The sequence below is a fragment of the Homo sapiens genome, chromosome 3 (genome assembly GCF_000001405.40).
Source record: "Homo sapiens chromosome 3, GRCh38.p14 Primary Assembly".
Taxonomy (NCBI): Eukaryota; Metazoa; Chordata; class Mammalia; order Primates; family Hominidae; genus Homo; species Homo sapiens.
In genome coordinates, this window is record NC_000003.12 from 124,672,907 (window position 1) to 124,685,446 (window position 12,540).

The 12,540-nt window shown below is 44.3% G+C and overlaps 1 protein-coding gene across 34 annotated transcripts in view; it reads left to right on the plus strand.

Moving 5' to 3' along the window:
- Nucleotides 1-12,540, plus strand: part of KALRN (kalirin RhoGEF kinase) — a 692,957-nt gene that overhangs the window by 639,538 nt on the left and 40,879 nt on the right. For 11 of the 34 annotated variants that reach the window (XM_006713810.4, XM_006713814.4, XM_011513280.3 and 8 more), the window contains 3 exons: nt 1,455-1,708; nt 5,284-5,407; nt 6,552-6,611. In XM_006713810.4, the coding sequence (XP_006713873.1) occupies nt 1,455-1,708; nt 5,284-5,407; nt 6,552-6,611 (438 nt within the window). Of the gene's footprint in view, nt 1-1,454; nt 2,522-5,283; nt 5,408-6,551; nt 11,510-12,540 lie in introns of those variants that run through there. The other 23 variants (XM_047449162.1, XM_024453811.2, XM_047449163.1 and 20 more) reach the window with 7 other exon arrangements.

Here is a 12,540-nt window from a genome sequence, read left to right on the forward strand (position 1 = left end):
AGTTTTATTTCTCCTCAAAATTATTAGTTTATATTGGTTATATTAAAAAATTATTAGTGTCCAAGTTCAATCCTGTATTAGAGTAACCACACTGATTTGTTCCGTCACATCACCTGGAAATGATTTTCCACCTTAAAAAACAATCCTGCCTTTGTGAATAAACTGAAGTCACTTTGGCATTTTGTCAAACATATCGGGCCAGATGCGCTGGCTCACGCCTGTAATCCCAGCACTTTGGGAGGCCAAGGCAGGGTGATGGCTTGGGCTTAAGAGCTCAAGACCAGCCTGGGCAACATAGCAAGAACTCATCTCTAATAAAACTTTAAAAAAAAAAAAAAATTAGCCAGGCACGGTAGCATGCACCTGTTGTCCCAGATACTGAGGCAGGAGAATCACTTGAGCCTGGGAAGTCGAGGCTACAGTGAGCTATGACTCTGCCACTGCACTCTAGCCTAGGTGACATAGCAAGACCGTGTCTCAAAAACAAACAAAAAGTATATACTGAAGAATTTGTATGTATATCCTGTATGTATATACATATAGAATATATATGTATATCCTGTATGTATATACATATAGAATATATATGTATATCCTGTATGTATATACATATAGAATATATATGTATATCCTGTATGTATATGCATATAGAATATATATGTATATCCTGTATGTATATGCATATAGAATATATATGTATATCCTGTATGTATATGCATATAGAATATATATGTATATACTGAAGAATTTCTGGCTCTTACCATGCTCTATGAGGCAGCCAGTCCTCCTAGGAAAGTTACAAGTCTGTCTAGAGGCAGCTGCCCTGAAATAGACTCACATGAAAAGGTCATGGGCAGCATCTCTTATATTAATGAGTAGGGGAGGGTACCTGGTGCCTGCAGGAAGTTGGGTAAGGGTAGGTCATGGTCTTGCCTTTGAATTGGGCAGAGATATCATTCTTAGTCCTGTCTCAAAGAGGGTCAGAATATAAAGTAAAGCCAGCGCACTTTCAAAAAGAGAAAAATTTAATATCAAACAATCCGTGTTCTTTCCATTGAAGGATTGTGACCCCTGACATGACACTTGCCCTGACCTCATTCTGCCCAGGTGCTTACATACCCCTATGCCAGTGCCAGGTTCTTCCTTTCACTTGTAAGAGAACGCTGGCAGGAAGGTTGTATGCTGGGAAGGGGCTTCCAGGTCAAAGGCGTGTTTATACCTTTATGTGGGGTGGAGCCATTCACCCTGGATGATAATATTGTTGAAACATTGCTATTAAAAAATATACTTTCAGAGCATGTTTATTAATATCATGTCATTACTCAAGAGAGAATGCTGCCTGCTGCCTACCCTGCTAGTGGGAGATTTGGCCTTGAACCACTGGGTAGGGTGCAGAGCAAGCCCATGTGAACTAGCGTCCTTGTGTTTGTGCCCCTCTCACCCTTATCTCCCAGCAGAACGACCTGGGAGGCTGCAATGGGACCTCGTCCATGGCCGTGATCAAAGATTACTATGCACTGAAGGAGAATGAAATCTGTGTGAGCCAAGGTGAGGTGGTCCAGGTCCTCGCCGTCAACCAGCAGAACATGTGTCTGGTGTACCAGCCTGCCAGCGACCATTCCCCCGCCGCCGAGGGCTGGGTCCCAGGCAGCATCCTGGCGCCCCTCACCAAAGCCACAGCAGCAGAAAGTAGTGACGGGAGCATCAAGTAAGTGCCTCGTTGGCTTCCCCGGGAGAGGAGTATGAGGATTAAAAATATTCAGAAACAAACAAAAGAACACAAAAATGCAAACACATGGTAGGGAATTACTACTGCTTATTCTCAACAGTACCACAGAACCAGTGTTTGAGTGCTGACACCATATGCAACATGGGGCATCCGGGCTGGAGTGATCCAGTTTTTTAGTTGGTGGTGGCGATGATTTTTCTTTCCTTTTGGTTTATAATTTTCTGTTCATTTTTCCCCCTTTCTCCCCCACATTCATTAAGAACCCTACTGAAACCCTAGGTGACAAAAGGTGTGCCTTCTGTTGCCACATTTGACCCACCACAGGACTCACTGGACTGGACTTCTATTTATATTGTATTAAGTAACTGATATATATATATATATATATTTTTGATTGACACCAAAAAATTACCTTGGCACAAATGCCAGACCTGTGAAGGTCAGAGGCCCGCTGCTTTTCCCAGGAGGGAGGGAACTTTTTGGTTGTCTGTGGCAATTCCTCTGTACAGATTGTAACTTTTTAAAAATTTCCCTTCACCCCGTCACTTGAATATATGTTCATAGTAATTTGTAAGATACTTCTTTTCCTTATTTTGGTTGCAAGACCCTTCCGAACACATTCCTGTATAAAGTATTTTGCACTATTTAAAGAAACCCATATGGATGAAGTCAGGATGTGCAATATGATGGCGTCACAGTGCTCATCGTTGTACCTGTAATGTAACTAATCAGTTTAAATGTACTATTTTAAATATGTAAAATAAATTTTCACCATGAGCATGTTTTAATGAAGTTAAAGACTAGTTGACCCTTTTTCCCCTGTTTCACTATTCTTGGACTTTCAAATGTGCAAACAATTCTTCTTCTTTTCCTCCTCTTCTTCTTTTTTTTTTTTTTTTTTTCCCTTTTCTGTATTTTAGGATTTGGGTGAATGCATTGGCATTTTTTTTTCCTACATAAAAAGTATTTTTGTTGCTGAAGTTCTGACCCGGGCCTTCCCTCCTAAATAGCCCCTGTTGATTTTCTCTAACCTCTGAGATGAGGGAAGGTACAGATTTGATGCTGTCCAACTGGTTCCCTGCAACTGGGCAGCCCTGAGGTGCTGATGTCAATTAATGACCAGAGTAGAAGGCAGTGTTTGACTGGCATTCTCCGCTGCTTTCCCCTGCTGCATAGTAATCCATGGAAGACGTGGTGCAGGGGGCTTCCATGAGCTATCTGAGCAGTGGCACCAGCATAACTGCACTGCTTTGGCCCTCTAGGTCAGGGGATAGCAGCTACTGACATCACCCTGGCCTCACTAGGTAACCACAGGCCCAGCCAAAAATCCACAGTGGCCCCTAAGGCACAATAGCCCCCATGCATTTTATCCTAAGTATACTTGTTTTGGGTGCCTTTTAGGTAAGCCTTGGGATAAAGGCCCTCAAAGCATTGAAGTTTTTACTAATCAGGGGACTTGCAGAGCTAACTCTTAATGATTTATCCTCTAAATATCCAGGCACTAAACACTTCTTCCTCCCTACCTTTGGTTCTGTTGGCCACTTATCCATACCTTCCATGGGAGGGAAGGTAAAAGGATGTCAGACCGAGCAAAAGAGAGCAGATTGAAATACAAATGGGTCATTTTGATTTCTTGTCAGCCGCTCTTGCAAAAGGGTTGGGGGTGTGTGTGGAGGGGAGCAGTGGACTGAAAAAGGTTGTCAGCATTTACCAGTGGAGGACACTCAGCACACCCTCCCCAAGGCCTGCCATAACCACAGGGGTCAGAGTTGGTTGTGATGCCTACAGGATAAACGTCACTGAAACCCTGTGTCCACATCAGTCCCTGGGCTTGCAACCAAGAGATGGAAGCTCCCCAAACCATGATGACGAGTTCTTCTGGGAAGAATATGAAACCAAGCCTGCCCTGCCATTTATACTACTCTCAGTCTTCCTTCTGAACATGAAATGTTATTGCTCATATTTCTAGTTTTTCACCAAGCATATTAAATAACCCAGAGAATTTAATAAATGTAGAAACACACCCCCACAAGGACACACACATACACAACGTGCTGCCTGCCCTGGGAGTCCTTTCAGCAGGGATCTCCCTGACTCAAGTTGTTCTCAGAAGGAGCCAGGGACATGGGTTTGGGAGTAAAGTTATCAAAGTCTGAAGTTAACAGGCTGATGCCATCTAAGATTAGCTTCTATGGCTGGTTCTCACTTATACAACGGTTGGAGCAAGGTGCTGGTATGCAGGGGACAGTAGAGAGCCTGACTAGTTAGGAGATACAAGAGTTTTTGAAGGAGCCCACTTTCCCACAAGATTCAAGAATATTACTGTGATTGCTCTTTCCTGCTCAGAAGGTTGAACCTGTGTGTTAGCGGATAAATATTTTTGGAACACCTTCCTCAAAGTACCCTTAAAATCCTGATGTATGTGGAGTGTTCTGGAGGGATGCTCTGTATTTTGCAGCAGCTTCCTTTTCCTAAATCTCCTCTGCCTCTCTCCCATAATGGACGCTCATCTCATGGAGCCCTGTCTGCATAGGCCCACCTTTGACAAGGAGATACTGAGGGGAAGCCACGTCTTACTTATTCCAGACAACAATTAGAACTTCATTCAAGCTCTGTGACCTCACCTGAAACTGATGATGCCTGCTCAGGGTCACTGATGCTGTTTGTGACTTGGCTTTTGGTATCTCTGTCTTTGAGATCTGATATTTATGGAATGTAAGGGCTCTGCTCTGAGCTTGTCTTCATAGGTCTGTGAAGAAGTTGCTCCCAAGACCCTTTGTGGGAAGAAAGAAGTTAGGATGAAAGGCCTATTGAAAAGCCATTGCTGCTCTCACCTCCCTGGGAGCACACATTAGTTCTTGTCCCAATAGGGAAGCTCTAGGACCTCTACAGGCTGACAAAGCCATATATTCACAAACACTGAGTGATATGGAGAATATAGACCGAGAAACTCTTTGCCCTAAAATATCCAGGTAAATGAGTGGTGCTCAACTGTTTATTAAGCAAATGTCTGCCACAGAAAATCCTGTCTGATCAACATTGTTTGGGAGTGGCCCTGCCCAAATACAAATCATGAGGTAGAACTCTCAATGTCATCCTTTTAGGTCTTTCTGTCTGGTCCTGGGAAAGTGTCAGTAGCATATGCATTCTAGAATATACTTCCCTTGACTTTCCTATTCTACTCTTCGCCCCCTTTCCTCACCCATCCACCGTGCCCTTCTCAAGAGGAATTCCTCAGTCCTGTGAGGCATCATGGGTATGGTATACAAACTCCCTTATTAGAGTTTAGTAACCTAGCATTCATATTTTCTTTAAATGCCGTAGTCAACCTTGCACATCTACCAGGGGAGGTCAGAGTTCATCCTTGCTCACTTCCAGTTGGAGGCGAGGTCAGCCGCCAGCCACCCTTGGAGCTGGTGTGCAGGTTTGGGGCCTCTGAAGCCCGGGCTTGATGGAGCACCTCACCTGCTGACTCACCCAAGGGTGGTGAGCCCGCCCTCCACATCGCTGTCCCTGACCTGCCATTTTGATTGGTGCATTTTTTGGTACAACAGGAAGTCATGTTCATGGCATACTCTACGCATGAGAAAGCGGGCGGAAGTGGAGAACACGGGTAAAAATGAAGCCACAGGGCCTCGTAAACCCAAGGATATTCTGGGCAACAAAGTCTCTGTTAAAGTGAGTAAGGTATTCCGGAGCTGCGTCCCCACCTGTCATCCACTCCCACCCTGCAGCATTCTCACAAGCCAATTTGGGTGGATGGGTTATTTTTTTTTTTTCCCAGTATGGGTACCAGAGGGGAAGTAGTTTAGCAGGATTTTGCATGCAAGATCAATTTATTTTTTATCTTTTATTTCTCCTGGCAACTTCAATTCAAGTAAGTACCTTTTTTTTCTTTTATACCTTTCTCTTTATACTGTGCAGATGTTTTACAGCAAAATTATCTGCAGCATTCTCTTAAAAATGTGAGATGCTTGATTCATATTAAATTTATCAAAGCTGCCATTTGGTACCCTAGGTTTGAGAATACACACAGGGTAAAGCAATTAGGGATGCCTTCCAAACCCCCAACCCTGTGAAGGCTGAGGTTTGGAATTTAAGGGCCACTGTGTCCTTAGTAAAGTTTCATTTCTTTTCCCCAGAGTTCAGACAACATCAACTTCAGGCCATTTTACTTGCATGGACACAGTAGGGGGGCACATTGGTGAAGCCCAAATTATTTCTTTAAATAATCCATCTACTACTTTGAACTCATGAATTCTAAGCTTGGCAGACTCTTATTTACCCCCATCTTGAAACAATGTCATCTGCTTTCTTTAAATTGGAACCTCTGGAAAGATCTGCCAATGGACCAATGGACAATGGAAACTAGACACTGATTATTATAGCACTAATTATGCTATAATGTGTGATCATCTACCTGGAACTTTGTTTCCCTTCCTTAGCAAAGTAAGAACAACTAAAACCCAGTCTAAGAGATTTCTTGGGGAAAAGAAATTGTATACTCTCCTTCACTCTCATCTGGGAAGTCCAGCCTCACAGAAGACAACAGTTTAAATTCGACAACACTCATGCTTCATTTTGCTTCCATTGCTGTTTCCCATGAGATAAGCAGTTGTACACAACCCCCGCCTCCTCTCCCTGAAAAGAGCATGCTGCTGCCCCTGGTGATTCTCACCCCCACTTTAAAAACACCTGGTTTTTTCTCTGCCCAAGATCCCATCGCCCATGCTTCTCTGAAGTTCTCCTCTCTCTCTAGCAAAAGCTACTTGTGTTCTAACTGTGTTCTCTTTCTTCCCCCTTCCTCATGCTGCCAATCAAGGAGACGAACAGTTCCGAGGAATCAGAGTGTGATGATCTTGACCCTAATACTAGCATGGAGGTAGAAGCAGCTATTGTTGTCCTATTTCCTACAATGATTGCCTTTTTTGATGTGTTCTGTAACAGTGACCTTGCTAAAATGACCAGCCATTCAAAGATAAATTGTGATGTTGGGGCATCTCTGGGTATCCCATCCCAGCTATAAAAGAAACAAACAAAAACATAATTCAGTTCAGTGTTGGTAGAAAACTCTACCTAGATTTTTTTAAAAAACAAAAACTTGTTATCTTGAATGCTTGCTAAATATTTTCTCCTTTGGCAGGTTTGACTTTATGTAGAAAATATCCAATTTCATTATTTGAAACTTAGAACACATTTTTTCATGGAAAACAGCACTGTAAAGAGTGGATGAGTCCCAGCTAAATGACAAGGACTCATTTCGTGTTTAGTTTCTCCCGCTTTTGTTTTCCCCTCCTCCGCTTCTTTTTCTTTAGCCCTTTATCCTCTTCATCTTGCTCTTCTACTGGGTTTTATTCCCTGCTCAGTGTTCCAGAAAAATAACGGGTGAAGTATGGCACCTGGTTGCTATGTAGAGCTGATAGCAAATAAGGTGTAATTGTAGCAACTCCAGAGCACACTTCAGCCCAGTGCTGGGCCCGTGAGCAGTGGCTGTGCCCACCGTGTGAAGGAAAAGGAGCCCTGGGGAGGGCCTGTCTCCTGGAGCCACGGCAGAGGCCTCTCCAGAGATGGTGAGATGGAAACACTGCCCAGGGGACATTTCTCGCACCCCAGGCTTACAGGGATGTGGGAGTGGAACCAACGCCTGTATCAACAAGAACATCCATTCCACTTCCAACTCCCAGTCTGTTGGGTTATAGAAACGTGGCTCTTACGTGGCTTGCCACTGAGTAACAACCATGATAAATTTACAAACCCTAGACAATGAGGGCAAACATGGAGCTGACTTTCCTTGCCATTTTTTCATTCAGAGAATGTTTTTCTCCAGATCTGTGCATCCATCTCCAGTAATGGGTACAAGTTTAGAGATTTCTTCTAAGTACAAAATAGACAACATTAAAAAGAAATTTATATCATCCCAAACATTTCACTTAATTAGATAGACTTTTATTCTTATTCTAATTTGACCTAATCCCAGAGAAGTCCAGCACCATGTTGTTTCAGCCACCACAAAACCCAAGAGAGATCATGAGGCCTAAGAGCCGGTAAGTCAGCTGCAGAAGGAGCCAACTGAGTTGAATCAGGCCCGAGGCAATCGGCTGACAATGGGAGTTCTGCCAGGATAGAGTAGTCCCCTGTAGATGTGGGTATTACCACAGAGCTAAATCTGGTAGGTGTGGCTCAATACGTACCCCACTGTGGGAGAAAGTGGAGGTGGCATTTGTAGCCTAAATGTATCTTAGAGAACAAGGAAGCCAGGGGAAATTTCAGGCTCTGTTTTCCTTGCATTTCACAGGATAGGCACCAGCTCTCCTGGAGTTCACACCTGTCAGCTTGTAGATACTGGGTGGCACCTGTATCCCCAGACCTAAGTATTGCCAGCATGTATTATAGATGTCAGCTGCAAGTGGAGGAAGGCCAGACAGAGGCAGGGGAAAAGCCAGGTACCTGTGTTCCAGGAAACAATTTAGGACCTTGTCCAGTTCTTGTGGACTAGGGGAGAAGAGTGATGTTCCCACTCTGTAGGAAGAAATGGGCACAGAGGGATGTGGGGCCAGGGGAGCAGCACACATTAAGAAAATTAACTGGGGTCATCGAATGCCCCATTCTACACTTAGATAAAAAACATGTGTGTGCATATACACATCTTAACTCTGCTTTGCTAATTGAACACATTTTAAAGGTTCTTATTCATCTAAGGCTTTTAGTCCTTTGCATGGGCTGAGTGAGATGGGTCCTCAGGAGGTGCTGTGGAGTGCATGAGCAAAGACATTAGAATATTCGTGCTGAACAGAGGAAAACCAAAAATTGTGTTGATGCATGTCCGAAAAGTTTTCAAATACAGTAGTTGAGACACAAAGTTTCCTTTAGGCACAAACTTTCAAGTAGCTGGAACCTCAAGGAGGCATGTTGTTGGAAGCAGCAATATCCCCAGTATGTGTGGATGTAGCCCTTATATATTACATATACATCCTTTTAAATTTCAGTGATTGTCTTTTTTTTTTTTTTTTTTTTTTGACGTGGAGTCTCTGTCACACAGGCTGGAGTGCAGTGGTATGACCTCGGCTTACTGCAACCTCTGCTTCCCTGGCTCAAGGGATCCTCCCGCCTCAGCCTCCTGAGTAGCTGGGACCACAGGTGCACACCACCATGCCTGGCTAATTTTTGTATTTTTGGTAGAGACAGGGCTTCACCACATGGCCGAGGCTTGTATTGAACTCCTGACCTCAAGTGATCTGCCTGCCTTGGCCTCCCAAAGTGCTGGGATTACAGGTGTGAGCCAATGCACCTGGCCTAAACTTCAGTCATTCTCTGAATGTGTTGCCAGCTTCAAATTAACTTTGAGCACATGAGCAAGTCCAGAGGGAAAGCAGGCAACTTGGCACTGCTAGTTTGGTATTTTCAGATGCAAATAAATAAGATATAGAAAGTTAAACTGATCAACATGAGTTGAGAATTTTCTCAAGGCATGTGTAAGTAGAACCTTATTGCAATGTACACTGCAGAAGAAGAAAATGATGAGGAGTGCATACTGAAGAGAGAGGCTATACCTTAAAGATCCAAATTGAAATATAGGTGAGCAGGCCACCTCTTGAAGGCCTCTCACTATTCAAGTGGTCATTTGGGGCATCATTCCCAGACCCAGCCTGGCCCCCAACCTCACCCTTGTCTTCTGAACTTGATGCTGCAATGGGCGTTGTCTCTCTGGGAATGTGTCTGTTACTCTTAGTGAGCTGAATCCTGTGCTGAGGGTGTCTCTGTTCCTGGAACCCCAGCTGACATAATGGGACCATGCACCCTGTGTGTTCACTCCGTGCTAGATCTCCAGATGTTAAATCCTGCCCTGACTGACTCCCTTTAACCTGAGGCCAGCCTGTTGATCCCAGCCCTAGCTGTGCATAGGCTCTCATCTCCTGCCTGCATGGGAATGATGTCACCAAAACATTCTTTACTTTTTCTCAATAAGTGGACCAAATGGTTCCTTTAAGGGCAGTTTCCTGGGGTCTTTACTTACACACTGGCTGCTTGCTACCTTCAGGCTGGCATTTGTCCCACCATGGTGTTTTGGGGAGATATACAGGCGCATCCTTGAAGGTTAATTAAGAAGAAAATAAAGCACCTTGAATCCTAGGAGTCAGATTTACAAAGCTTTCCAAGAATACCCAATTAGGTAAAGGGAGGTAATTCTGCTCTAATGTTTACATCCTTTTCCTTCCCCTGCTTGTGAATGTTTTCAAGTACAACTCCTACTCCCAGCAGTACATGCCACACCAATGCCACTGCAAGATTGGCTCTAGGTCTATGCCATCCCCTCGTGGCCAAGTCTCCTGCAGCCAAGTCTCCTGCTGATCTGTGACCATACCTCATGGAGAACTGTTCTAAAGATGACGAGTATCATCCATAGTTCAGCTTACTTCTTTACCTTGTACTGATTAAACTTTGGGGTGGGGGTGAAAGGGGGGCATCATACATGAAAGAGATGTTTCTACATGGAAGAAGAGTCAAACCAAGCTGAAAACCAAACACAAGGGTACCTTAGGAACAGGTTAATAGTAATTCATTTTTTCCAGTAAGGTTAGACTGCCTTGTGCCTTTTGCAGGGCTGAGAACCACATGCCCAGCCACCACCTTTTTCAGTCTTGTCTCTACCCCGGTATCTGCACTGACACCCCAGGCTCACGTGTTCAGGGTCAGCATCTGGCCTATACTAGGTTTTTCTTAGGACCCAGGTGAGGCAGGTTTCCACCTTTGAAAAGTTGTCTGAGAACTGTGTCAATGCTCACTTCTGTTTTTGTACCTGCCCCCTAGCCCCAGCATTGCCACCTGCCTACATCACAGGATGGGGTTGAAAGTCCTGAACTAGCCTCCCTGACTTGGGCCTTCAAGGATAAGGATTCTCAGCCCAGTTTTTACACCAAGCTCAAGTAATTACATGCATTTTAACTAAAACAAAACAAAACCCAATACCTCTTGTAGCAGAGAAAGTCAGTTCATCAGAGTGAGAGGTTGTCATCATTCCAAAAAGACCCTGCCTCTGCCCCAGCCATTCAACATGCCACTGGCCTCATCCACAACACAGACTAAGTGCAGACGTTATCCTCAGTCATATACCAGCCACCAGATATTTAGCTTGGGGAGTTAAAAACAGTGTTGGGATCTTCTGGGAGAGGGCTCTGAAAGATTAGAGAGAGAAAGCACTTGGGAAGGTGAAGCTGATTTTGGAGGAAATTCCCCATTGGAGTAAGAATCACACTTTCAGAATAAACAGAACCTGGGAAACATTTAGTTAACCTCTTCATTTATTTATTTTTATGTTTTGTAGTAAAATATACATAACAAAAATTTACCATTTTAACCATTTTTGAGTGTGTGGTTCAATGGCATTAAGTCCCTTCACAATGTTATACCACCATCACCACTATCCATTTCCAGAACGTTTTCATCATCGCAAACAGAAATTCTTTAGTGGACCCAGTAAACAACTCTCTATTCCTCTCCATCCCTGCAGCCCCTTCACCTTTAACAGAGCCACAGGAACTTGTCCTTTTCTGTTTGAAAACTGGAAGGTGCTCTAGTTTCTGAGGCAGCTTCTGGTTTTTCTGCTTGCTATTCCCCCACCTACACCATCCTGCGGCCACTTGGTACCCCATCTCCAGGTTGATTTTAACCTAAAACACAGATCCTGGCAGACGAGAAGACCTAACTCCTAGTGCCAATTTTTGTGTATAAGTGTGTTATTCCATTTTCCAGCTCAATAAAAAGGAATATCATTTCTGCCCATCTTGGCTTTCCGAGGCTGAAGTGTAACTTAAACAAAAACCACAAAGGCAGTATCACATGGAAAACTGGAACAGGAGTCAAAAACCTGGATTCTAGTTTGGATACCGCCAGCTATGAGACTGCTGGCCAGTTAGCCTTTCTGAGCCCCAAGTTCCTCTGGAAAGTTGCACAGCTCCAAGTGTACAGGTGTTTATACAGTGATGTGTAACCCTTTGAGCACCATGCACGTCTAAGGTGTGCTAACAAAGGACTTTGCTCTCCAGCACTTCTGACTTTGAAAACATTGAGATCCCGACCGAAGAGGACGTGGAAGATTCTGTGCTTTGGCCAGCAATTCACTTTTCAGGGGGTGTGGCGGGAATGGCCTGGGCAGATTTCCTTCTGAGACTCAACTGGAGTGTCCACTCCTGGCTCTGGGAAGTTTGAGCGGCCAGAGCTGGTACTTTTTTCCTTCCTCAAACCTACAGTTCCCTGGCCCGCCTTTCATGTCCTCAGATCTGAAGAGCCAGCCTACTCCCCGCACCCCACTCCCCGCCAACTACCACATCAGCTACTCTGGCCTCCTTATCCTAGAGCTTCAAAATAACCCGGCCAGACGGATTGAAGGAAACTTTTACACCCCCAGCCAGGTGACCAACCTCCTGGCATCCCCAGTGTGTGTCCACTGATGCCTGGTTCCGCATTTTATAAAAAGAATTTTTTCATGAAAAGAACCCTTTGGATGAAAAGAAAGTGAAGCATCACATTCCTGTCGTTTTATTTTTGCAAAATATTTTCTTTGTAATATATCTGAAGGGTGTGGCTTGAAGACTTCCTGCCTGGCTTTGTTCTGACTCTCCATGCAGACCGATTTATATTCCGCCACCAAGAGAAGGGAGCTGAGCTTAGTGGCTGCTTCCCTCTCCTGGGAGAATTTTAAGAAGATCGTCCACAGCAGATTCACATCTATTATGCTTTTTGTTCCTTGCAATTGCCCTGTGAAGTAAGTAGGGTAGAGTTTCTCACCCTCCTGGGGGAAACATGTTCAGGGA